The following is a 24414-nucleotide window of genomic DNA, read 5'->3' on the forward strand; positions in this document are numbered from 1 at the left end:
ACCTCTGCCATCTTGGCATACAACCGAAATGTGCAAGTCAGAAGAATGTATTTCTATTTAAAATAGATAGAAAGCAGGTATCACTCTTTCTCCTTCAGTAAGTTTTTAGTAGTCTCCAATTAAAAAAAAAAAAGGGTTTTCTTTCAAACCAACTCAAATTCACCAATCTTCACACAATATCTTAATGTTTTTTACCCCCATTTTGTTACCCAGCTATGATGTAGAGGGCTGATTACCACATTCTTTGTAAGTATTGAAGCCAATTATTAATTGGGTCTAAATAATACTTTTCTTCCCCTGGATTAATAATCTCTGATATTACTTTCCAACATTTTTACTCTTTTCATGTATCTTACCTTTTAAAACTCTTTAGAGAGTCCTCCTACAATTACCTTGTTGTCATTTCTGATTGGCACGTGAGTCTTTTTATATCTGCAGGCCTAGAATGTAGTCCACTGCCTGGCTCTTGGTAAATATTCTTTTTTTTTTTTTTTTTTTGAGACAGAGTCTCTTTCTGTCGCCCATACTGCAGTGGTGTGATCTCAGCTCACTGCAAGCTCCGTCTCCCGGGTTCACACCATTCTCCTGCCTCAGCCTCCGGCGTGGCAGAGATTACAGGCGTCTGCCACCATGCCCAGCTAATTTTTTGTGTTTTTTTTAGTAGAGACGGGTTTCACCGTGTTAGCCAGGATGGTCTCGATCTCCTGACTTCGTGATCCACCCACCTCGGCCTCCCAAAGTGCTGGGATTACAGGCGTCAGCCACCGTGCCCCGCCTAAATATTCTTGAGGAAATGTAAAATCATGCATGAGCAGCATTCAATAAAAAGTTGAATACAATTTATTTGTCTTCCCTGGCTAGACATTACTATTGATTTAGACACATTTTTCTATTATTTATACCATATGGAAATATACTTTCATCAAGACGAGTTCCTCTGATTTCACCAGAAAACTCAATAAGCTCATTCTAATAATTATCCTGAAATATAAATCTAAACATTGATTTTCTCACAAGTGCACAAGTATCTAAACTGCCATCAACCAAAAGCTTGATATACCTTGGCAGAATTTCAGATCATGCACTGTACTACACAGTCCTAAATTTCACCTTCTGTATTTCTGAATCTCATGCAATATAAGAACAAGCTCCTCTCAGTTCAATAGGTGTTGCTGTTCAATTGCCAAAAGGATCTTATTTTGGTCAGAATTTAAAAGAAAATCTGTATTGAGAATAGTTTGATATTTCAACTAAGTGGTATTTTATTTATTTTTAATTGACAAAATTGTATGTATTTATGGAGTACAACATAATTTTTTGATATATGGGCACGCTGTGGGATGATTAAATCAAGCTAGTTAACATATCTATCACCTCACATATTTATCACTTTTTGTAGTAGGAACATTTAAAAACTCATTTAGCAATTTTCAAATATACGGTATTATTAATTATAATCAACATGCTATGCAATAGATCTCCAGAACATATCCCTCCTGTCAAACTGAATCTTTGTACCCTTTCATAAACATCTCCCCATTCCCCACCCTGTCCTCATCCCAAGCGCCAGTAACCACCATTTTTTTTTCTTCTATGAGTTTGACTTTTTAGATTCCACATGTGAGCTTCATTGCTACTCAGCCATAAAAACAAAAGAAATTCTGTCATTTGCAAAAACACAGATGAGCCTGGAGAACATTATGCTAAGTGAAATAAGTCAGGCAGAGAAAAAACAAGTGGTATTTTACACATATTTAGTAATTTAATATTTTATTACTTTTCCTATTTTTTTCTGAAAAGGTTAATAATTCTTTTCTAAACATTTATTAACTTTCTCTTTGCTTAGAACAGCTTATCACTATAAATAAAAAACTATACATGCTCTAATATGCATATCTGCTAATTTCACAGTTATTAAGCTTCCTAACATCATGCCTAAATGCCAAAGAGAGGATGCCAGATATTTGGAACAAATGCCATGATACATGTTCAAAGCTAAAGTAAAATCACCAATCTTTTAGCTTTTGATCAGAGCTGATTGAGAGTTATTGATGAATATTTTTCATTAGACTGATATTTCACTGGTTGACAGATACACTTCTGTCTTTCTTAGTCTTGTTCAAACACACATACACGCATCCATACACATCCATACACACAGTTCAATGCTGACAAAAGGGTAAAACAAGAAAGTGTGAAAGAAAAATGAAATATAGCAGTTGTTCTTTAGCAGAAAACCTTGGTAAGGTCATGAATACTTGGGAGTCACCTTGGTCACTGATGTGAACTGGCTTTCCTTAAAAGAATGCTTCTTAAGTAGCAGTTATATCAGAGTGGTGGGGGAAAAGGTATAAAATAAAAGTTTGGGGAGGGGCTTCAATATTTTTGGAAGAATTTGCAAAAGTGTGTTTTATTTTCTTTGATTCTTTCATAAATTAATAAACCTGACTAACATAATCCGGAAAGTTTTCCTCAAGTTAACATAATCTGGAAAGTTTTCCTCAAGTTAAAGAAAGAAATATTTAGATTACCTCTTCAGTAGTTCGCTCTTTGAAGCCTCTTGGGTCTCAAAATTCCCAAGCTAAAGGTTAGTGAGTTAAACCACATAATCACCATGCCTTCCTGCAATAAGGTTAATAATTAATGCCTGGAATCCCAATTAATATCTAGAATCCATTTAATGTCTAGAATCCCGTTCCCAACCAAAGCCTTTAAGTAGGAAATCCTATAGTATGTTTCATTAGAGATTATGCCTAATGATTAAACTGAAATGTGAAATTTTAATAATGATATTCAAAATCTTAAGGACATTCACCTGAGTAACTGACCTGAAGTACAACCCGGGTTCCCACAAACTTTTCAGCAAGGCAAAGTTTTGCAGTTTCACTCTCTTCCTTTCTCTCTTCCTCTCCTGGTACTTCTAAAATTCTCCACCCCACTAAGAAGAAACAAGGTTGATCCACGTTCTCCCTGAGAGAATATACCTATCTCAATGTATTCAAGAGGATTCAGAAGGATGGCTTATCCAAGAAGAAGGCTGCTACTCTCTGGGAAGATTTTCACTGTGGTCTTACTTTTGAGGCAGCATTTCTCTGAAGTACAGATAGCACACTTATTCACTGATAGATCCCTTTGAATTAGGTGAGCTTGACCTTCTGCTCTCTCTTCTTGCTTATATTTCTCTTGTGACTGGTTATTGAGAGTTATTGATGGATATCAATAGCAGATGAGGAAGAACTGATAAAAGAAGAGGAAACCCAAAACAGACTACTAAATTTTTTAAATATAAATGTGGAAAAGAGAGTAAAAATTATCTTTACTGCAAGACTGGGCATGGTGGCTCACACCTGTAATCCCAGCACTTTGGGAGGCCGAGCAGGTGGATCTCTTGAGGTCAGGAGTTTGAGACCAGCCTGGCCAACATGGTGAAACCCCATCTCAACTAATAATACAAAAATTAGCCAGGCGTGGTGGCACACACTTGTAGTCCCAGCTACTCAGGAGGCTGAGGCATAAGAACTGCTTGAACTTGGGAGGGGAGGTTGCAGTGAACAGAGATTGCTCAAAAGAGACTCTGTCTAAAAAAAAAAAAAAAAAATGTATTTACTGCTGACCCTGAGAACATGGATTTACAGAAACAAAAATGAACTTCCAACTTGTTCTGTATTAGAAATTAATGGAAATGTGGAGTAGGGGTAGTACAGAAAAGAGACAGGAAGAGGGAAAAAAGAAAGAAGTCACCAAGAAGCATGGCCACAGGCTGGAGCCTGAATTGGCATATAAGGCCAAGGTATTTTTAAGAGTGGGGAAGTACAACATCATGTAGAGCTGTCAACACTTCTACGTGACTTAGAATATCCACTCTAGTTCTACAAACCATTGATAAATTTCACCATACACAGTCCGGGCGTGGTGGTTCACGCCTGTACTCCCAGCACTTTGGGAGGCCAAGGTGGGTGGATCACCTGAGGTCAGGAGTTCGAGACCAGCCTAGCCAACATGACAAACCCCCATCTCTACTAAATATATAAATTTAGCCGGGTGTAGTGGCAGGTGTCTGTAGTCCCAGCTACTGGAGGCTAAGGCATGGAGAATCGCTTGAACGCGGGAGGTAGATGTTGCAGTGAGCCGAGATCATACCATTGCACTCCAGCTTGGGTGACAGAGCGAGACTCCATCTCAAAAAAAAAAAAAAAGATTCACCACACATAAACTTGTATGGGTGAGGTATTCTTGTGGACATCAATGAAAGAATTTCATCTCTGGGTTGATGAGGTCTTAAACAGACACAAACTGTAAGAGAACAAGAGAATCCATAACTCAACCAATACTTTAGAAGCAGAAACTCAGAAGAAGAGGTGGGCATGAGATAATAATACCTGTGGAATTCACATGTATCTTGGGAAGAAAAAGGCTAAGCAATGGAGATTCAAGCCTACTTATCCTGATCATAAGAGAGGGACAACCCCAGCTATTATTCAGGTTACAATGAGTAGACTAAGTGTTTATAACTTTAGGAAAATAGAAAAATACTTTCCAGGAATTAGGTGTTTATTACTCTTCAAAAATTAATCCCATTATCCTCTGACTCATTATCAATAATAAAGTTTAAAAGCTATTTAGCCCCCTAAATACAGCTCTTGAATCAAAGAAATCTGCCTTACACCAGATTCTGCAACAAAGACCAACATTGGTAGAGTTAAAAATCAAGAGATACCACACCAGGAAGGCTTAAGATTAGTAAGCTCCATGGACAGAAACCAGGAGCTTGGTTCCCAGCTAACAACCACAACGCCTAGCACATAACAGGCACACAATAAATATAGTCAGCCCTCATATGGATAAGTTCTGCACCCACAGATTCAACCAACCACAGACAAAGAAAGAAAGAAAAAGAAAAAAACTCAACATTTAAAAATGACATAAAAAATACAGTACAACAACTATTTACATAGCATTTACATTGCACTGGGTATTACTAGTAATCTAGAGATGATTTAAAGTATACGGGGGGATGTGCATAGGTTATATGCAAATATGATGACATTTTATATAAAGACTTGAGCGTCCTTGGATTTTGGTGTCCTCAGGGGGTACTGGAAACAATCCCTAGGACTGAGTATACTGAAGGATAACTCTACTTGTTGCATGAATAGCATTCATTCAATATAGCTGCAAATTATCCTACAGGGGCAATAAATGTATCAAACAAAGATTTAACTATAACTAATTTTACCCCTGAAACAAAATCTAAATAGGTGGTGGAAAAAAAGGCTTTTAAATTACTTGAGACGTCCTATCCATCATGCAAAAATCGGAATAACCAGGCATGTGCAAGGCAAATGGACATCTACTTAAATTGGCCCAAAAGGAAGATCAAAACCATGGCAAATTTAAACAATTCCCAGTCTTCAGCGTGGTGGGTACGATACAGGATTAGCAGACCTCCTAGAGACCACAATCTAACAGACAACTCTGATGTATATGTTAAAGCCTAATCAGAAGTCTAACAGGAACAAGCCTGCAGTCTGACAAAATCAGATGTGTGGACTTGGTGTAGCAAGTGCCAGCACTTAAAGAATCCATAAAATGACAGTGACAAAGAGGCAGGAGGGTTTGTAGGTTTGTAGGGTTTGGAATCTCATTGAAGGATTCTGAAGAGCTAAGGGAAACAGAGATCAGTTCTAGATTGGTTTCTGTTTTTAAGGTGAAATTAAAAGAATCAGGGATTAACCAGGGGTTGTATGAGATAAGAGAAGTTTATCCAATAAAGATCTCCGTAAAAGATGGGAATAGCAAAGCAAGTCTGAGAGCATCAGCAGTAAGAAAGCAGTCATCACTCAAAGAAGGGATCCTTGTGGCATTTTACAGCCCTGTGCCACCATGGGAGAAACAATGTTTCCTGTTAATTTTATAGTTGGCTTTAAATGTGTCTATCCTCTAAGCCTGGTTAATAGCAAAGCGACCTTTTCCTCTTTTCCATGCAAGCTGATTTTCACTCTTTCTGCTAGAGACTGATTTTGACTCTTACAGATATAATTATTAAATAATACCCTCTTAATCAAGTTGTAGAAAAAGACTTTCTCAAAACTTTGATCTAAGAGAAGCAGGCTAAAAAACAAAAGGGTCTATTATATTTTAAACCATTTCAAACTGGCTGACCCACAACCCTAATCCAATCTGCACTTCCTCAGTCCTCTGAGCACACCTCTAGCACAGCCACCTGCCACTAGATAATCATAGCTAGTTTACTTCTCTGTCTCTTCTCCTACACGCTGAACTCCCAAAGAGCAAGAGCAGTGAAGTATCCATTTTATGCCTAGTGCCTAGCACAGTTCCCAGCCCATCTAAGTGCTCCAAAGTCAAGCTGCCTGCTCTTCCCCTCTCTATATAACATGTACCAAAGCCCCTTACACAGTAAAACAGATTTGTACTCTAAATATCTATTTAAGAATGTCATTAATTCCACCTTGAATGGTTATGGAAAAAAAAGAATGTCATTATTTGAAGGATGTACTACATGGATGAGACATGAGGTGCAGGAATGAAGAGTGAGATCTACAATGCCAGGTCAAAGCAGAAGGACGCTTCCATTTGAAGGGTCCACAAATGGCTTTGCTGCAACATGATAAAGCCAGAAGCACTTGAACTAAATGGCTCAATGCAAACTATATTTACTAAATCGAATCACTTATGATGTAGTACTAGAGATGCTCATCTGTCTTTTCAGCAAGACTATAAATTCCTGGATGTGAGAGGTCATGCATGTCTTAATCATTTTGCTTACTCTGCCCACTGCATTGTATAGGCATTCAATAACATGGAAGCAGAGAGGACAAGGTAGGAAAACAAGAAGAGAGGAAGCAGAAATCACATTCAGTAAAGCAGAAGGGTAGGGGCAAGAGTAAGTGCTGGTAAAGGCATCACACATGCAGAATCAGAGGTCTCCAACTGCATGAGGACAGAGGACTCCCACAGGCTGCTTAAGGTAAAGAGGAAAGAAAGGAGCTGGTAAATCAACTTAGGACTTAGAAGATATAATGAGATGTGAAACTGGACTGAGAGGTGGGACACGAGGAAGCAAAGAGAGGATTGGGAAGTCATAAATACAAGGAGATGAGTTACCACGGTCAGAAGCTAAGAAAACTGTCTTCATTAAACCACCACTGACACAGGGAAAGTGGGAGGAAAAATGAAAATATAGCTATGCAAAATGACTCAGGAGCACAAAAAGAGTACAAGGGCAATCCAGGAGATCTGTTTATTTAGATATTAGTAAAAGCAGGACCTGGGTGTAGAGAGTCAGGGATAGGCTGCTCTGAGCCCATATGGTGCCCTGACTCTGAGGTGGGTGCAAACAACCACAGAGTCACCTTATTCCTCTTTCTTTTATTCTTCTGTTTCTTTATTCCCCCCCTCCACCCCATTACTTCCTGCTGTGCAAAGTGTTCACCAAATAGGACCCTATGCTTCTTTTGGGTTAGGTCCATTACAGTTCTGCCTTTCCCCAAACCCATCATGAGGCCATAAAGAGGAAGAGGAATAGCATTGGCTGTCCTTAAGTATCTCTTCAAAGATGAGCCTCATGGAACAAGCAAGCAGTGACACAAACCACAAAAGCATTTCCAATGTCAAGGTGACACGCACATTCTAGTTAGCATGACCTGAAGTCAATAAGCAGGTGCCATCTTGTCTAAATTATTAACTACGTAAAAGCAACAAATCGTACCCATGGTCTTGGGTGAGCTGCTCTGGAAAAGGAGAAGGAATAACTCCCAGCACTCACTGAAAGGGTGTCCCAGCCACAGTGGGTAGGACCCAGTGCCACACACTCTGCATGACTCCACTGAAATGCAAAGGTCTTTCCGTATAAAATGTACTCGGAATAATTAGAATTAGTATGTTTTAGGCAACCAGAAAAACTGAATTGTGTATACTGGGGTGGTGGCTTTTATTATGCAGGCCCATCACTGAAAACTCAAAATTACCTTAGATTTGAAGGAAATGCCCCCCATTTTGGTGAGTAAGTTATTTTACTCATCCCTCATAATGACACATTTTTGAATTTTTTTGTGCTACTACGGCACTGAAACTCCCCCTTGAAACAACTCTTAACCCTCCAATTTCATGAAGTATTCATGTTCTAAATCCACTTCAAAAATAATTCTCTATTGATCTCCCTTTATATATCATCATACTCCAAAGAATGCTCATCCTTAATAGCACTTAACAAGATGTGCAATCTTTTCTCAACACATTAATGTTGAAAGGAAATACCCACCTAAGATTTTTAAAGATCTATAATTTTTGTGAAATGCCAGTGTTCTACCAAGTCTGTTCTCAAATTTTGAGCATAGATCATCCTCCAACTTATCAACTTGTTGAACTCCAAAAGTTTGACTATAAATCAGTTGTGGGAAAGAGAAAGGTAGTTTCCCATACTAAAAATCACACAGTATAATTAGGTTCTCAGGGCAGCCTGCAAAACCCTTTTCCACTCGTGCTCTACCTAAAACAGCCGTAAAAATACCATAGAATTCAGAGTCAAAGTGATATTTCCAGAAGAAAAATGCTTTCATAGTTCCCTTTTGAGATGCCAAGAACCCAAAAACCTTTCTTTCTGGCAATGAAAGTAGGGGCTGCCTTTGCTTAAAGCAGACTTCGGAGGGTGAAGGTCATGGTGCGAACTTTGGGGAGGAAGGTATCTCCGGACTGGACATGTGAAGTGAGGGAAGTGAACACACTGCTTGTCCAGACCTGGAGGAAACTTTAGGACAGGAGGGCAGAGTGGGAGAGAGGACTCTAGCGAACAAGTGGGAAAGCTGGGCATGAGTGAGTGGAAGATGCGGGAAAGAGCATGGACAAGCAGTTTCTGAACACCTTTTCCCATCTCCTTTGCATTTCACAATTTCTTCTACTTCTCTCTTTCCATCTCCTTTAGAAGGGTTTATGGGTAAGGACTGAGAAGAAATAAAAGGCCACAGCAGGGCAGCAAGAGGAAAGGAGTAAGTGGGAGGGAGTCACCAGTAGGAAGCAGGATGAAAGAGATGCAGTCTTTCATTTGGAGACAAGGGGTAGGTTTTTCACACGTAAGGTGTGCATCCATAAATAAGGATCTTGTACGTTGGCTCATGTGTAAGTGCAAAATAAAGAGAAACAATGGTTACTGTCCCCAGAGTGGAAGAACAATAAGCAAATTAAATGAACTGGAGTTTCTGTGAATGCTTCTGTTATTAAAAATACTATTTTAAGGCCGGGCTTGGTGGCTCATGCCAGTAATCCCAGCACTTTGGGAGGCCAAGGCGGGCGGATCATGAGGTCAGGAGTTCAAGACCAGCCTGACCAACATGCTGAAACCCCGTCTCTACGAAAAACAAAAAAATTAGCCAGGTGTGGTGGCACGTGCCTGTAATCCCAGCTACTCAGGAGGCTGAGGCAGGAGAATCGCTTGAACCCAGGAGGTGGAGGTTGCAGTGAGCAGAGATCGAGCCACCGCACTCCAGCCTGGGTGACAGAAGGAGACTCTGTCTCAAAAAAAAATTTTTAAGAAAAAAGTATATTCGATAAATCTATTGCACACCTGTTGTCTTTTACTAGGGATAATGTCTTCAGCAAAGACACTGGAATCCAGAGTAAATATACTGTGCTCACATTTTTTGGGAATTCACACATCTCAAATTCTATTGCGGAAGTCCAGGTTTCTTCACCAATTTCATGCAAGGTAGTATACTTTAAACAGGTGTGTATCCTTTCATCAGAATCACATCCAGAACAAATTCACAACACTGCCCTTTATTACTACTCTACTTGAGACAGATATCAACTGGTGGTCATTCTTTAGCTATATCATAAGCACAACCTGAAAATTGTATACCTTTGTCTACTTTAAGCTACAAAGCCTATCACTTTCATGACTAATCAATTTGATGCACTGAAAATACAAGCCAAAATATTAATTATGTTAAATGATGTCTAGGAAGGGTACCTCTTTCTACAGATTATTTGAATAATGAATTTAACCTCATATTCTTCAAATACTGTACAATTAGAATTTTTTTCTTACGCAATATTTTTTCTAGAGGGGCCTATTTGGTCCTATTAGGCACAAACATGATGTGAGAGGAAATGGTGAGTGTTGAGGAGAGTCCCTCTGGGGCTCTGGACTACAAGTGAGAAAAACTACTTTTCCTGTTGGCCATTTCTTCATTGGCAGCACTTACCCATTGGAAGCACTTGTTTATTTGGGGTCTGAATGGGAAGAGTGGCTGTCTGGGCTGGTGAACAGAGGCCTATTCTGGATCTAACTACAATTTTCCCTGTCTCAGGCTGTGGCCCCAACTTTGTTTTTAATCTATTTTTTCATTCACAAACTAAAGAATACATCCTACAGAATACCTAAAACTCCACCAGGGTTTCAGAAGCTACGTGGAATGCGGTATTGTGAATATTTCACAAGCTCCTTTTCCAACCTTCACATAAGCTTTCACGAACTATGCTTAACTCGTACTTCGATAGAAGCTAAAACACAGGTGTTTTCCTGACATCACAAAGTGTCCAACGTGACATCTACTCATCTCCTTTGAAAGCCTCAGGGGCAGTTAGGGTGACCCTGGCTACATCAAACACTGAGTTATCAGAGGCACATTAGGATGAGGATGTAGCTTTGGTAAAGATTTATTTAACAACGCTCAGAATCTTCTCACTTGACAGGGAACCTTCCCATGGATTTCAATCAGAGAACATGTAGCTAGAAAAGAGAAAAATATGTTTTGTCTAATCTTGACATATCCTGCACATCTTAGAACATCTACTCAGTCTTTTCATTTCTGACAATGATTCAAAGAAAGAATTATCTTTGCCTTAAAACATATAATGTTCCATTTCTTTACATTAGAGAACTCATCAAAGTAGAATGCCGTCCAAATCTCTAAGACACACCATAAGAAACAAATGGCACCGTTATTTATTTGAATTTTCAAAATAATATTTGCATTACCTCTGTATTAACAACTTCCATTGGTCTTTTCTTGATTTCTCCTATGTCCAAGTAACTGAGGAAAAAACAAACAAACAATAAGAGTTGCTTTTATAGACTTTAAGTCAGTAATTTATTTTTAAAAATCATAAAAAAATAAAGCAACTCATAGGAAATTCTCAACCTTAAAGCAAAAACAAATAGCTACTAATGAAAAGCAATTACAATAGTAAAAACTGTTTGCAGTGTCACCAACCAGAGCTGACATATGTCTACCCTAAACTTCAAGAGAAGGAAAGTCTTAGAAATACATACATCTATTAGAGAACATTTTTCCCTCTTAATAGTTAGCTGCTTACTATATACACTATATTCTTACAGATTTGATTTTTTAAAAGAGTGGCTTATGTGCAAAGCTGCTTAACTGTTCCATTAAATACAGGCTTTAGGTCAAAGGAAGTACTGATAGCGTGCATTAGGGTAACAACTGGGAAAGGCTGAGAAATTATTGTCTCTATGAGAGCACCTTAATGATACAAAAACACTCACTCATGTGGGATGACTTTGGTAATTGGTTCAGCTAAGAAACAGATGGGTGGACTAGTTAACCTCTGGAGACCCCTATTATTCCATTACTATTTGCTCTAGATACTAACAGTGATCATTCTTTAGCTGTTACATAAGCACAACCTGAAAACTGTATACCTTTGTCAACTTCACGTGTAATATCACTGTGATGTGGTTCCAGTTTTAAATGGTCCCTAAACTGTGCTTCATACATAAAATGTGCTAAATAAACATTTTAATATTAAAAAGTATAAATCTAACATATAATTTATAATGATAGATCAATCCTTTACCCCAACTACTACAATTGCCAACTTGTCCCAAAAAAAGCTTATGTTAGAATTAATTTTGGCTATTGAAATGTTTTTATTGTTGCTGTTTGCCTTTTTGGATAAAATACTTTAGTTAATTCATATCTCTGGAAATTGTCATACAATGCCCCTATATAAAAGTAGTCATATTTTTAAAACAGTGCAAACACTCCGTCTTAGCAATAAAATGGGTCTTTTGTGGACCTGCAGGGGCTGAGTTTTGAAATAATACCAAAATATTCTGTCATGTGCAGGAAAGTGGTTTCAGATCCACAAGATTAATGCTGCAGAGTCAACTTCCAACAATGCACAGGGAAAGTTTTGGGGGAAATACTCTCTAGAATCCTCTGCTGTAAAATAAAGGTTGTGAATGTATGGTCTCACATTTGAAATAAATAAGGGTTTAATAGCTACCTGATGTTTAGTTATCGTTTCAAAAATATTAGAAAAATCTAAGTGAAAGCAATTCAAGCAGCGATTTGATCAGTTCCATTTGAAAAAGATGTTGCTGTCTTTCCCAACATTTAGGGTCTAAATGAAAGCCCACGAATTGTCCTCAATATCGTTTGGGCTTTCTTTTGTTCTGACAGTTTCTCCATTCTTTACATAAACTTATAAGTGCTAAGTTTCAAATATATTCAACATTCAAGTATTCTTGGCTTCTATCATTATAACCGTAGATACTACTTCTTTAACACAAATAAAATAGTCATCTGTCAGCATGGAAACCTAACCATGGACACTGTTATAACAAATTCAGTTTTTTGTGTATGAACTGAAAGCAAAAATAACATGCAAATCTCTTAGAGAGACTTGAGTACACTTTTTTATTTGGTGTGGAACTGTACCTTTTTTTTTTAATCTTGTGAGTTGGTAGGATCAAATAAACAAAAGAACATGAACTATAAAAGTGAGTCTACAATTTTCAGCCGTTCAGAGATTCTGAACCAGACTTTCATTTCCACGAAATTGCTTTAGACGGAAATATTTAATAAAAAATAAAGTATGTAACAAAAGGAACTGGTCATAGAGGTGTCTTATATTTATGTAACACTTTGGTGTTTACAAAACACACATCTATAGCATTTACTTTTTATCACAGCCCTGTGTGGTACAAATGATTATGCACCTTTTCTGTATTAAGAAACTGATTAGCTGAGTCAAGCGACTTGCCCAAGGACACAGAGCTGATGAGCAACTCAGTCTTCAGTCTCCTGGTTTTAAGTTTCCTTTAAGCATGCAATTTCATTTAGCCCTTTTTTACGAAGTTTAACAAAGCATGCTTAAGAAGCTTCAGGGGAGGGAAAAATAAATCCAAATATATCCCTCACTTTCCATGAAAAGAATGTCTGACGTAACAAAAAGTATAATAGAATACCTAGAACTCAATTTAAACAAATATAGGAGAAGAAGGATTACATTCAAGAATTTTAGTGATATTTTGAAAAATATTTCTATGTAGTTATAAGACTTTATTTGAATTTTAATTATTAAGAATCCAATAATGCTTATGAATTCATAAGCTTAGATTTATGGTCAAGGCTTTTTTCTATCCTGGGGCCCAAGATGAATTTCAATTAAAATGTTCTATTAAACTATGGAATACAGAGTTACCATGTGATCCAGCAATTTCACTCTTAGGTATACACCAAAGAGAAATGAAAACTTGTACACAAATATTCATAGATGCATTATTCATAATAGTTAAAATGTGAAACAACCCAAATATACATCAAACTGATAAATGGATAAGCATGGATATAAAAGGTAATATACCCAAATCATGGAATGTTATTCAACAATAAAAAGAATGAAGTATTGATGTATGATACAACATGGATGAACCTTGAAAATGTTACAGTAAGTGAAATAAGCCAGACATAAAGACCATATACCGTATGATTCCATTTATATGATATGTCCAGAATAGACAAATCCATAGATTCAGAAAATAGATTAGTGGTTTCCAGATGACAGGGGACAGAGGAAACTGGGAGGTACAAATGTTTTGGCGGGAGGGGTGGAAATGAACTACAATTAGTTGGTGGTGATGGTTGCACAACTCTGAATACACTGAAAGCCAATGAAATGGTTGGACTTCATGCCATGAGAAATCTATCTCAATAAAGCTGTAAAAAAAAAATGGAATGTAAAATTCTACCTGTCCTATAATGACCACCCCAACCAACTCTCAACTCACAATTCCCACATAACTTTATTTTTCTATGCACATATCCCTTTGTAGCTTGCATTAAAATTGTTAGTGTGCAGGTAGTCCAGTTAGACTGAAAGCTCCTAAAGACAAGGAATCATGCCTTGCTCATCTTTGTTCCCTGAACTGACGGTTTCTTAATTCACTGAACACTCACTATGAGTGAGCTCAAGAGCTGGGAATAAGGACCCCTGCCCTTGAAGGTCTAATCACGTTGCTGGAGACAGACAGTCGACAAATACAGTCAGCCAGTAAACTCTTCCTGCATTATGCTAACAGCATAAACATGCAGGGGGTGGGAGCAGGGTCACAAAAGTGAGTGTTGTCAATTCTACTTGGAATGAAAGGTTGAAATAATTTAAACAGTACGGGAAATGCAGAGCAATTTTCTCCTCTGGTGACAATATAGTGTCCAACACTTGGAAGTGATTTTTAAGAATGTTTATTTAAATTAAAAGGATGGATTTCCAAGGAAAAAAAATAAGGAAAAGGAAAGAAAAAACTGAACAGAAAACGCAAAAGTATCAGTTTGGTCACTAACCTTTGCAAGGATACCTTTTTATTTTCTTTAAGATTCCTGTTGTTTATACACAGATTTTAAGTTTACTCCTACTGCTGACCCAAGTGAAATTCCTTCTCCAGTCACAGTGTCAACCTCTACCCCCCAACTGCAACGAGAGTTTTGAGGGGCATCAATCACACCGAGAAGTCACAGCCCCTCAACCACTGAGGTGTGGGGGGGTAGGGATCTGCATTTCTTCATATCAACCCCACACTATAGGGCACCTAAATGGGTGGGCGGTGGGGGAGACCGACTCACTTGAGTTTCTTGAAGGCTTCCTGGCCTCCAGCCACGTAATTGCCCCCGCTCTGGATCTGGTCTAGCTTCCGGATTCGGTGGCCAGTCCGCGGGGTGTAGATGTTCCTGACGGCCCCAAAGGGTGCCTGAACGCCGCCGGTCACCTCCTTCAGGAAGACTTCGAAGCTGGACACCTTCTTCTCATGGATGACGACGCGGCGCCCCGCGTAGAAGGGGTCCCCGTTGCGGTACACAAGCACGCTCTTCACGACGGGCTGAGACAGGTGGCTGGACCTGGCGCTGCTGCCGCTCATCTTCCCCGCTGGCCGCCGCCTCAGCTCGCTGCTTCGCGTCGGGAGGCACCTCCGCTGTCCCAGCGGCCTCACCGCACCCAGGGCGCGGGATCGCCTCCTGAAACGAACGAGAAACTGACGAATCCACAGGTGAAAGAGAAGTAACGGCCGTGCGCCTAGGCGTCCACCCAGAGGAGACACTAGGAGCTTGCAGGACTCGGAGTAGACGCTCAAGTTTTTCACCGTGGCGTGCACAGCCAATCAGGACCCGCAGTGCGCGCACCACACCAGGTTCACCTGCTACGGGCAGAATCAAGGTGGACAGCTTCTGAGCAGGAGCCGGAAACGCGCGGGGCCTTCAAACAGGCACGCCTAGTGAGGGCAGGAGAGAGGAGGACGCACACACACACACACACACAAATATGGTGAAACCCAATTTCTTACATCATATCTGTGCTACCCTTTCCAAACAGCCTAATTTTTCTTTTCTCTCTTCTTGCACCTTTACCCCTCAATCTCCTGCTTGCTCCCAAATTAAAGCAATTAAGTTCCTGGATGTAGTTGCCCAGGTTTTTCTTTGCTGGAAGATAAATGTGCAAAGCCAGATGCGGTGGCTTACGCCTGCAAATTCCAGTACTTTGAGGGGCCCAGGCGGGAGGGCTGCCTAAGACCAGGAGTTCTAGACCAGCCTGGGAAACACAGGGAAAGCCCCCGTCTCTATAACGCGCCTGTGATCCCCTGAGGCAAGGAGTTTGAGACCAGCCTGACCCGGTCTCTACAATTAAAAAAAAAAAAAAAAAAAAAAAGTAGGTGGGCAGGGTATTCGCCTGTGGACCCAGCTATCTCGGAGGCTGAGGCGGGAGGATTGTTTGAGCCCAGGAGGTCGAGGCTGCAGTAACCTATGATTTTGCCACTGCACTCCAGCCTGGGCGACACAGCAAGACCCTGTCTTAGAAAATAAAATATATATTTTTTTTATATATATATTTTATATATTTTATTTTATATATATTTTATTTATTTATTTATATATTATATATTTTTATATATAATATATAAAATATATATTTTATATATTATATATAAATATATATATTATATTTATATATATATTTATATATTATATATAATATATATAATATATATGTATTATATATATTTATATATATAATATATTATATATTATATATATTATATATTATATATTTTATATATTATATATTATATATTATATATTATATATTTTATACATTATATATTATATATTATATATTTTATATATTATATATTTTATATTTTATATTTTATATATATTATATATTTTATATATCATATATATTATATATCATATATTTTTATATATTATATATTTTATATATTATATATTATATATATTATATATTTTATATATATTATATATTTTATATATTTTATATATTTTATATATATTTTATATATTTTATATATTATATATATTTTATATATTATATATTTTATATATTTTATATATTTTATATATTATATATAATATATATTTTATATTTTATATATATTATATATTTTATATTTTTTATATATATTATATATTTTATATTTTTATATATATTATATATTATATATATTTTATGTATATTATATATTATATATATTTTATATATTATATATTATATATATTTTATATATTATATATTATATATATTTATATATACTATATAGTATATATATTTATATATACTATATAATATATATTTTATATATAATATATTATATATATTTTATATATTATATATATTTTATATATATTTTTTATATATTTTATATATATTATATATTTTTATATATATATTTTATATATATTATATATATTCAGAGAGAGAAAGAGAGAATCCGGGTACCGTGACTCATGCCTGTAACCCCAGCACTTTGGGAAACTGAGGCAGGAGGCTCACTTGAGCCCGGGAGTTTGAGACCAACCTGAGCAGCACAGCAAGACCCCATCCCGGAAGGAGGGAGGGAAGGAAGGAAGGGAAAAATAACATTTAAGTGAATGAATGAATGAATGAGAAACAGAGCGAAGACTCGCGTGTCTAGGACCCCTAACCCCCTCCCCGATGATCAGCGCCGCCTGGCGGCGAAGCTCGGGTGCGCATCACGTGAAGACAGCAGGCAGCGCGCAAGCGGGGCCCTGGTTGGGGAGGCGGGCCCAGGAGGTGCCCTCCGCCGTAGTACCTACCGACACTCGCGTGCTGGAGAGGGGAGGGGAGCTCGGGCGCCGGCCGCGCGGGGGCGGGGCGGTGCGGCTCGGGTGGCACAGTGGTGAACTCTGCGGCGGCTGCGCGCCGCTCACGCTGTTCCTCCAGCTGCTGTTACCTCTGCGGGCCTCTCTCACCCAAGGGGAACGGAGTTGTTATTTCCCGCTGTTTCCATAGCAACCGCAGCCTCGCGCGGGGAGCGAGTCAGTGAACCAGGCCTGGCTTGCGCCTGGCTCCTTGGGATATGCTGGCTGCGTGGGGCAGAGGCGGAAGAACAGGGGTTTGGAGGAAGAGGGAGAAACAGGTGACATGATCATGCGCTCATTCATCATGCGCTCATTCAGTAAATGGACGCCTGCTGTGTGCAAGGCCCTGTGCTAGTTGGGGCCACGGCGGTGAAAAGGAAAACCTACAAAATTTTGAGTGCCTACCCTGTGCCAAGCTTTACGCCAGGGAAAGGATTTTTTCACTGCCGCAAGAAGGCTAAATGTCTGACTGGCTGTCCAAGAGCCCACATCTGTGCTATTTGTGTAGATTGTTAGCTCTGTCTGAGGAATAACAGGGAGAGGAGTTGTGAGAATAGTAACAGCCCCAGTAAAGAGTCGCTTTGTCCAGTCCAGTCTGGGACATACATATTGTGGCACCAGGAAAATGTTTAAAGAGTTGAAATTTTGCAGCTCATCTCTGCCAGTGTTTCCTTCATTCCTCCTAAGACTTTTCTACCATGTGTCATGTCCAAATTACTGGGTGTTCCTAACTCATCATGTACGAATAAAAAGAACTGCCATTAATTGAACACTATAACCATGGACCAGGCATTATGTAAGGCACTTTATGTAGATTATCTAATATTCACAATAACCTTCAGAGGTAAATATTATTCTTTCCTCAGATGAGGAAACTGAAGGGTAGAGAAATCAAAGACATTTACCTCAGGTCACACACACAGGAATTCAAACCCATTCTAAGGATTAGAAAACGAAAGAGAGAGAGAGAGTTCAAACCCAGTTCTGTCTTATTCCACAAGCTCCATAACCAGTCATATCACTGTGAAAGATGAATGTGTGGGACATTGCAATCTGGAGAGAAACTTTTTTTTTCCTTCGAGATTTCTGTTCTGAAGAAATATTTTTATTAAAGCCATGTAATACATTAATGCTTTGAAAGTTAACAGTTTTCAAACGCAGGAACAAAAAACCAAATACCCGCATGTTCTCACATATAAGTAGGAGTTAAATGAGGAGAACTCACGGACACAAAGAAGGGAACAACAGATACTGGGGCCTACTTGAGGGTGGAGCGTGGGAGGAGGGAGAGGAGCAGAAAAAATAACTGTTGAGTATCAGGCTTAGTACCTGGGTGATGAAATAATCTGTACAACAAACCTCCGTGACACGAGTTACCTATATAACAAATCTGCACATGTACCCCTGAACCTAAAATGAAAGTTAAAAAAAAAAAAAGTTAACAAATTTCAAAAGAAGGCCAAAGAGAACAATACAGGGAGGAAATAGACAAGGGAAATTTTGTGAGCTGCTTGTGGAGAATGCACAGGTTGAGGGATGGATGGGGAAAATACCTGTGAAAATGTGCTACCACATAGGTGAGTAAGACAGAATACTTGTTATGTGGAAATGGAAGGCAATCAATTAAGTAGCCCCCTCCCCAAACAACCTAAAATTCCCTATCATCTATATTAGCCCAGTGTAAAATGAAAATGTGGCCTCTTATTCAAAAATTAAGAATTTTATGTTAGCAACAGCAGAGCATTAAACCAATCATGGGGTCCTTCTTGATGTGGGGACCCTGACGCCAGCCCATGAAGCTGCCCGCATCAAGTCTATGCCTCCCACTGCGGTATCTCCAACCCGGATGTGTCTCCTGAGCTTAGATTCATTTATCCAGATGTCTCTTGGATATGATGTGGTGATAAGTGTTTAACTGCTGGCTTTTAGGAGGGAAGAGAAGGCCTTAATTCATAGCATTTGCCAATCTCTGTAGTTTACTCCAAATATGGCCAATTTCCAGATGCCAGTCTAACATCACTGAAGCCATGAAATGTGCAGTAGCAAGTCATTGTATGGTATTTCCACCATGCAGGCACAGCAGACTTGTGTAACTTTAAGAGCACAGATAGTAGTAAAATGTAGATGGAGATGAGTTTTGAGTATTTATTATCTTTGTTTTCAATGTAATTTATTTAATTGTATATTTATACAATTATTTTTTATTTAATTGCATATTTATACAATTTTTATTTAATTGTATATTTATACAATTATTTTTTATTTAATTGTATGTTTATACAATTATTTTTTATTTAATTGTATGTTGATACAATTATTTTTTATTTAATTGTATGTTGATACAATTATTTTTTATTTAATTGTATGTTTATACAATTATTTTTTATTTAATTGTATATTTATACAATTATTTTTTATTTAATTGTATATTTATACAATTATTTTTTATTTAATTGTATATTTATACAATTTTTTTATTTAATTGTATATTTATACAATTATTTTTTATTTAATTGTATATTTATACAATTATTTTTTATTTAATCGTATATTTATAAAATTACTTTTTAACAATGCCCATGTTTACAATTCCTGAGAATTTAACAGTTGCCTCACACGCCAGAACAAGGCAGTTCCAGGCACACAATTCTCCTGACAGCTTCTCTAGACCATCTAAAAGGCAGCCTAGACTCGAAACGTTCACGGGATCTCAAGTTTTCCTCAAAATCACTTTTCCTATGTTTCCTGTCTCCACAAATGGACCCTCATCTACTCATTTGCTCAAAGCTAGAACATATACATTTCTCTTCTTCACAGAACACATTTAACTGTGGCAGAGGAACAACAAAAACAGTCAGATATTTGCAATCTCTCTCCCTGCTCCAGATGCTTGCTGAATTGGTTTTGGAGCTCTTCTCTCTTGTGCAAAGTCCGAACACTGAGCAAAGTGAGAAGGCTTTAAGAAGCCAGAAAGGTTAGATAAACCCTGATCACGAAGAGCTGAGGTAGAATGAGGAGCGGAATGCTAAGGAATGAGGAGCTTCAGATGGATGCAAGGGAATGTTTGAGAACACACATAGGAAAGGAGGGGAGAGTTTTTGTATTTTAGCTTCTTCCTAAGTATATGAAAGGCATTGAGAATGAGAGAGATGGCCAAAGAAGATTCTTAAAGAAGTGTTGCTGTGCATTAAAAATAATACCACCAGCAGGGCACGGTGGCTCAAGCCTGTAATCCCAGCACTTTGAGATGCTGAGGCAGGTGGATTGCTTGAGCCCAGCAGTTTGAGACCAGCCTGGCCAACATGGCAAAACCCCATCTCTAAAAAAACAAAAAACTAAAAAAATTATCAGGGCATAGTGGCATGCTCCTGTAGTCCCAGCTACTCAGGAGACTGAGGTGGGAGAATCATCAGAGCCTGGGAAGTTGAGGCTGCAGTGAGCCATGCTCATGCCGTTACACTGCAGCCTGGGTAACAGAATAAGACCCTGTCTCAAAAAATCAAAAAGAAAAATAATAATACCAACAAGGCATTTGCTGTTTCCTCAAGAGCCTAGATCTCTGAAATGCTTTCAATTATATATTTCTGCTTAAGCAATATTTATTTTGATGTAATACTGTGCTAAAACCAGACCACATTGCACCCTAGGTTTATAAGGGCTCTTCAACTAATCACCAAGTTCTATCAATTCTATCTCTCAAATATTTTTTAAATCCATCCACTTATCTCCAAACCCATTTCCACATTTTGAATTCAAGGCATCATCATCCCCTAAGAGGTAACCCTGTCTCCAGTTTGCTTCCCTATTATCCATTCTCCACAGAACAGTCATCCTGAAAGGTCGCTGAAAACACAGATCTATCCATTTCACTTTCCAGCTTAAAATTCTTCAAATCCTTATCATTTCTCTTACAGTGAAATCCAATATCATCAACTTTGATGACAAAGCCATAAATATACTACTCTTGTTGCTTTAGTTTCCATCTCTTCTCACGCAAATCTTCCTATGGCTCTCCAAAGTGAAGACTTGTACCATCGCTTCCTTTAAAATCCCTTTGGATGTACTTTACAGCCCCTTATCCCCCCATTCCTATTTATTTGGCTCCTTCCAACTCCCTCTATAGATCAAGTTCCAACTTAAATGTCAGTTCCCCAGGAAATCTTCTCTACCCCACTCCCCAGATCAGGATAAACCCCCAACATATTACATATTTTTTCTCTATAGGTTTTATCAATTATAAGTATAAATTTTTAAATGTTTATTTATTTTTAAAAGATGGGATCTCACTATGTTGCCCAGGCTGGAGAGCAGTGGTTACTCAAAGGCATGAGCATAACATACTGCAGCCTTGACCTCATAGGCTCAGGTGATCCTCCCACCTCAGCCTCCCAAGTAGGTAGGACTACAGGTACAAGTCACCATGCCTGGCTACGTAATTACAAATCTTCATATAATTATATGTTTAATTGTAAAGCTTTATATAATTACATGTTTAATCTTTGTAGAGTTAAATGTTTATATGTATAAATTCCCTAAGGAAAAGGATTGTGTTCATTTTATTCATCAATGTCTTACTAGTACCTAGCACAGAGGCTGGAACATAGTAAGTATTAAATAATTATTTCATGAATGCATAAACAAAAGGAAAATATATTAAGTTTAAAAATTAACCTAAAACTTCAAAAACTGGAAAATGCTCCTGTAGAAGGAAACATATTTTCAGATCAGCAAAAAAAAAAAAAGTACAGTCCTTGACAACCGAAGAGATTCTAAGACTAATTGCTTAGCTTCCACAGAAAATGCACAGCCACGTGCAGAGGTGTGCACCTACACAGGAAACCAAGCTCTCTTAGCCAGTATTGAGTTTTAATATCCTTTCAAGGCAACAGAGATATGTATTAAATGTGAGACATATTCTGCTAGTTTTTCCTTAAAAAGTGTCACCTTTACAATTGGTTTTCACATCTTAGCCTCAAAAAGAACAGGAACTTGAGGGCCTTGAGACTGTTTCTTGGACCTACACATGGGTAACGGTGACTCTCTGACAAGCCTCTTGTCAGGTGAATTCAATTAGTTCTGGTAATGGCTAACCTCTCCTTCAAATCCACGTGCTAGGTGGCCTACCCCAGTTGGCTATATTAACTGGCTAACTCATTGGCCAATATTGACTATAAGGGGTATCATCCTTAACTCCTATCCAGAACCAAATCCTGTAGCTTCCATTTGCCTAACATACCTTAATCCTTCCTCTACTGCTCATCCTCATTGCCTCACCTAGGTTTAGAGCTTTGTTTGTTTGTTTTGGAACAGAGATTTGCTCGTCACCCAGGTTGGAGTGCAACGGCATGATCTCGGCTTACTGCAACCTCTGCCTCTCGGGTTCAAGCAGTTCTCCTGCCTCAGCTTCCTGAGTAGCTGGGATTACAGGTGCCTGGCACCATGCCAATCTAATTTTTGTATTTTTAGTAGAGACAGGGTTTCACCATGTTGGCCAAGCTGGTCTCAAACTCCTGACCTCAGGTGATCCACCTGCCTCGGCCTCCCAAAATGCTGGGATTACAGGCGTAAGCCACCACATCCAGCCTAAAAATGCTTGTTCCATACATTGCCATGTAACTAACGAGTTAAGAACAATAAAAAGGCTTGCTTTAGCAGCACATATACTAAAACTGGAATGATACAGATAAGATTAGCATAAGTTCCTGTGTAAGGATGACATGCAAATAAATGAAGCATTCCAAATTTTTTTCCAAAAGAAAAAAAAGAAAAGAATAATAAAAAGTAATAGATTGTTGTTGTTGTTTTTGTTGTTGTTGTTGTTGTTTTGAGACGGAGAGTCTCACTCTGTCACCCAGGCTGGAAAGCAGTGGCGTGATCTCGGCTCACTGCAACCTCCGCCTCCTGGGTTCAAGCAATTCTTCCACCTCAGCCTCCCGAGTAGCTGGGATGACAGGTGCACGCCACCAAGCCTGGCTAATTTTTGTATTTTTAGTAGAGACGGGCTTTCACCATGTTGGCCAGGCTGGTCTCAAACTCCTGACCTCAGGTGATCATCCTGCTTCAGCCTCCCAAAGTGCTTGGATTATAGGTGTAAGCCACTTCTCCCAGCCAGAAGTAATCATTTACTACTTTCTTTATTTCCACTTAGAATGTGAGATGAGTAGAAACAATCTCCTAAAACCAGAAACATTAAACTTTATTTTATATAAAATCATAAGTGGATCCTGAAGAAAACCATAAAGTGAATTCTGAAGAAAACCATAGTTGTTTATCTTCAAATTCTACATAAACCAAATACCGTATTTCTCCAAGTTACAATTTTATTTCTCTGAAAAACATATACAATTTTATGTTGACGGATTTGATAGCAGTGAAAAAACTTTCAGTTTACTAGAATGAGACCTGCAAACCCCTATAAAGTAGCAAGTTTAGAGGCCGAGATGAAGGAAAGTTGGGAAAACTCAAACCAAGAGCTTCTATTTTCTCTGTGCTATAGAAGAAGGTATCTTCCATGGGTCTTCTAGCAGTTAGTATCATGGTAAACATTAAGTGTTTAATAAATGTTTGTTAAATGAATTAATCTGAGCATGAAGGGTGGTGTGGACATGCAGGAAGAAGGGATGCACCTTGAGGAGCGTTGAACAGCTGCTGTGATGTGTCCAGTGTTGTATTAGAAACCATTATGGAGTATATATGCTCATATGTGGTTTCTGCCCTTAGTGCTTTTTAAAGAGAATATTGGTAGACTTTCATTTCTGACAACATGGTGAGCTAAATATCTTGGATCACTCTCCTTCTAAAGCAATCCAAAATGCTGGATCTTTTTTTATAAAATCTAAATCTTTTTTTTTTTCTTTAGAAACAGGGCCTCCCTCTGTCACCCAGGTTGTGGCATGATCATAGCTCACTGCAACTTCTAGGCTTAAGCAATCCTCCTGCCCCAGCCTCCTTAGTAGCTAGGATTACAGGTGTGCACCAC

At 38.4% G+C, this 24414-nt stretch overlaps 1 protein-coding gene, 1 long non-coding RNA gene and 1 pseudogene across 3 annotated transcripts in view, besides 3 other annotated features; 2 read left to right on the forward strand and 1 right to left on the reverse strand.

Moving 5' to 3' along the window:
* DCDC2 (doublecortin domain containing 2) overlaps positions 1-24414 on the reverse strand; it is a 211538-nt gene that overhangs the window by 170818 nt on the left and 16306 nt on the right. The window contains exons 2-3 of one of the 2 annotated variants that reach the window (NM_001195610.2): positions 14886-15275; positions 10997-11051 (exon numbers count right to left, since the gene is read on the reverse strand). In NM_001195610.2, the coding sequence (NP_001182539.1) occupies positions 10997-11051; positions 14886-15178 (348 nt within the window). In that variant the 5' untranslated portion in view covers positions 15179-15275. Of the gene's footprint in view, positions 1-10996; positions 11052-14885; positions 15488-24414 lie in introns of those variants that run through there. The other variant, NM_016356.5, reaches the window with a different exon arrangement.
* KAAG1 (kidney associated DCDC2 antisense RNA 1) lies at positions 14331-15713 on the forward strand. The gene has a single exon (NR_174942.1). It is a non-coding gene; the product is annotated as a kidney associated DCDC2 antisense RNA 1 (long non-coding RNA).
* Positions 17212-17800: an enhancer, noted in NCBI's record as "H3K27ac-H3K4me1 hESC enhancer chr6:24360012-24360600 (GRCh37/hg19 assembly coordinates)". NCBI's record gives its function as "activates a minimal SCP1, AML or CMV promoter by ChIP-STARR-seq in naive H9 embryonic stem cells {active_cell/tissue: H9 hESC(naive)}" and the evidence as "EXISTENCE:reporter gene assay evidence [ECO:0000049][PMID:30033119]".
* Positions 17344-17493: a silencer, noted in NCBI's record as "silent region_16988". NCBI's record gives its function as "represses an Ori minimal core promoter by ATAC-STARR-seq in GM12878 lymphoblastoid cells {active_cell/tissue: GM12878}" and the evidence as "EXISTENCE:reporter gene assay evidence [ECO:0000049][PMID:35858748]".
* Positions 17634-17723: an enhancer, noted in NCBI's record as "active region_24151". NCBI's record gives its function as "activates an Ori minimal core promoter by ATAC-STARR-seq in GM12878 lymphoblastoid cells {active_cell/tissue: GM12878}" and the evidence as "EXISTENCE:reporter gene assay evidence [ECO:0000049][PMID:35858748]".
* RNU6-391P (RNA, U6 small nuclear 391, pseudogene) lies at positions 23079-23182 on the forward strand (annotated as a pseudogene).

The sequence above is a fragment of the Homo sapiens genome, chromosome 6 (assembly GCF_000001405.40).
Source record: "Homo sapiens chromosome 6, GRCh38.p14 Primary Assembly".
NCBI classification, from domain to species: Eukaryota; Metazoa; Chordata; class Mammalia; order Primates; family Hominidae; genus Homo; species Homo sapiens.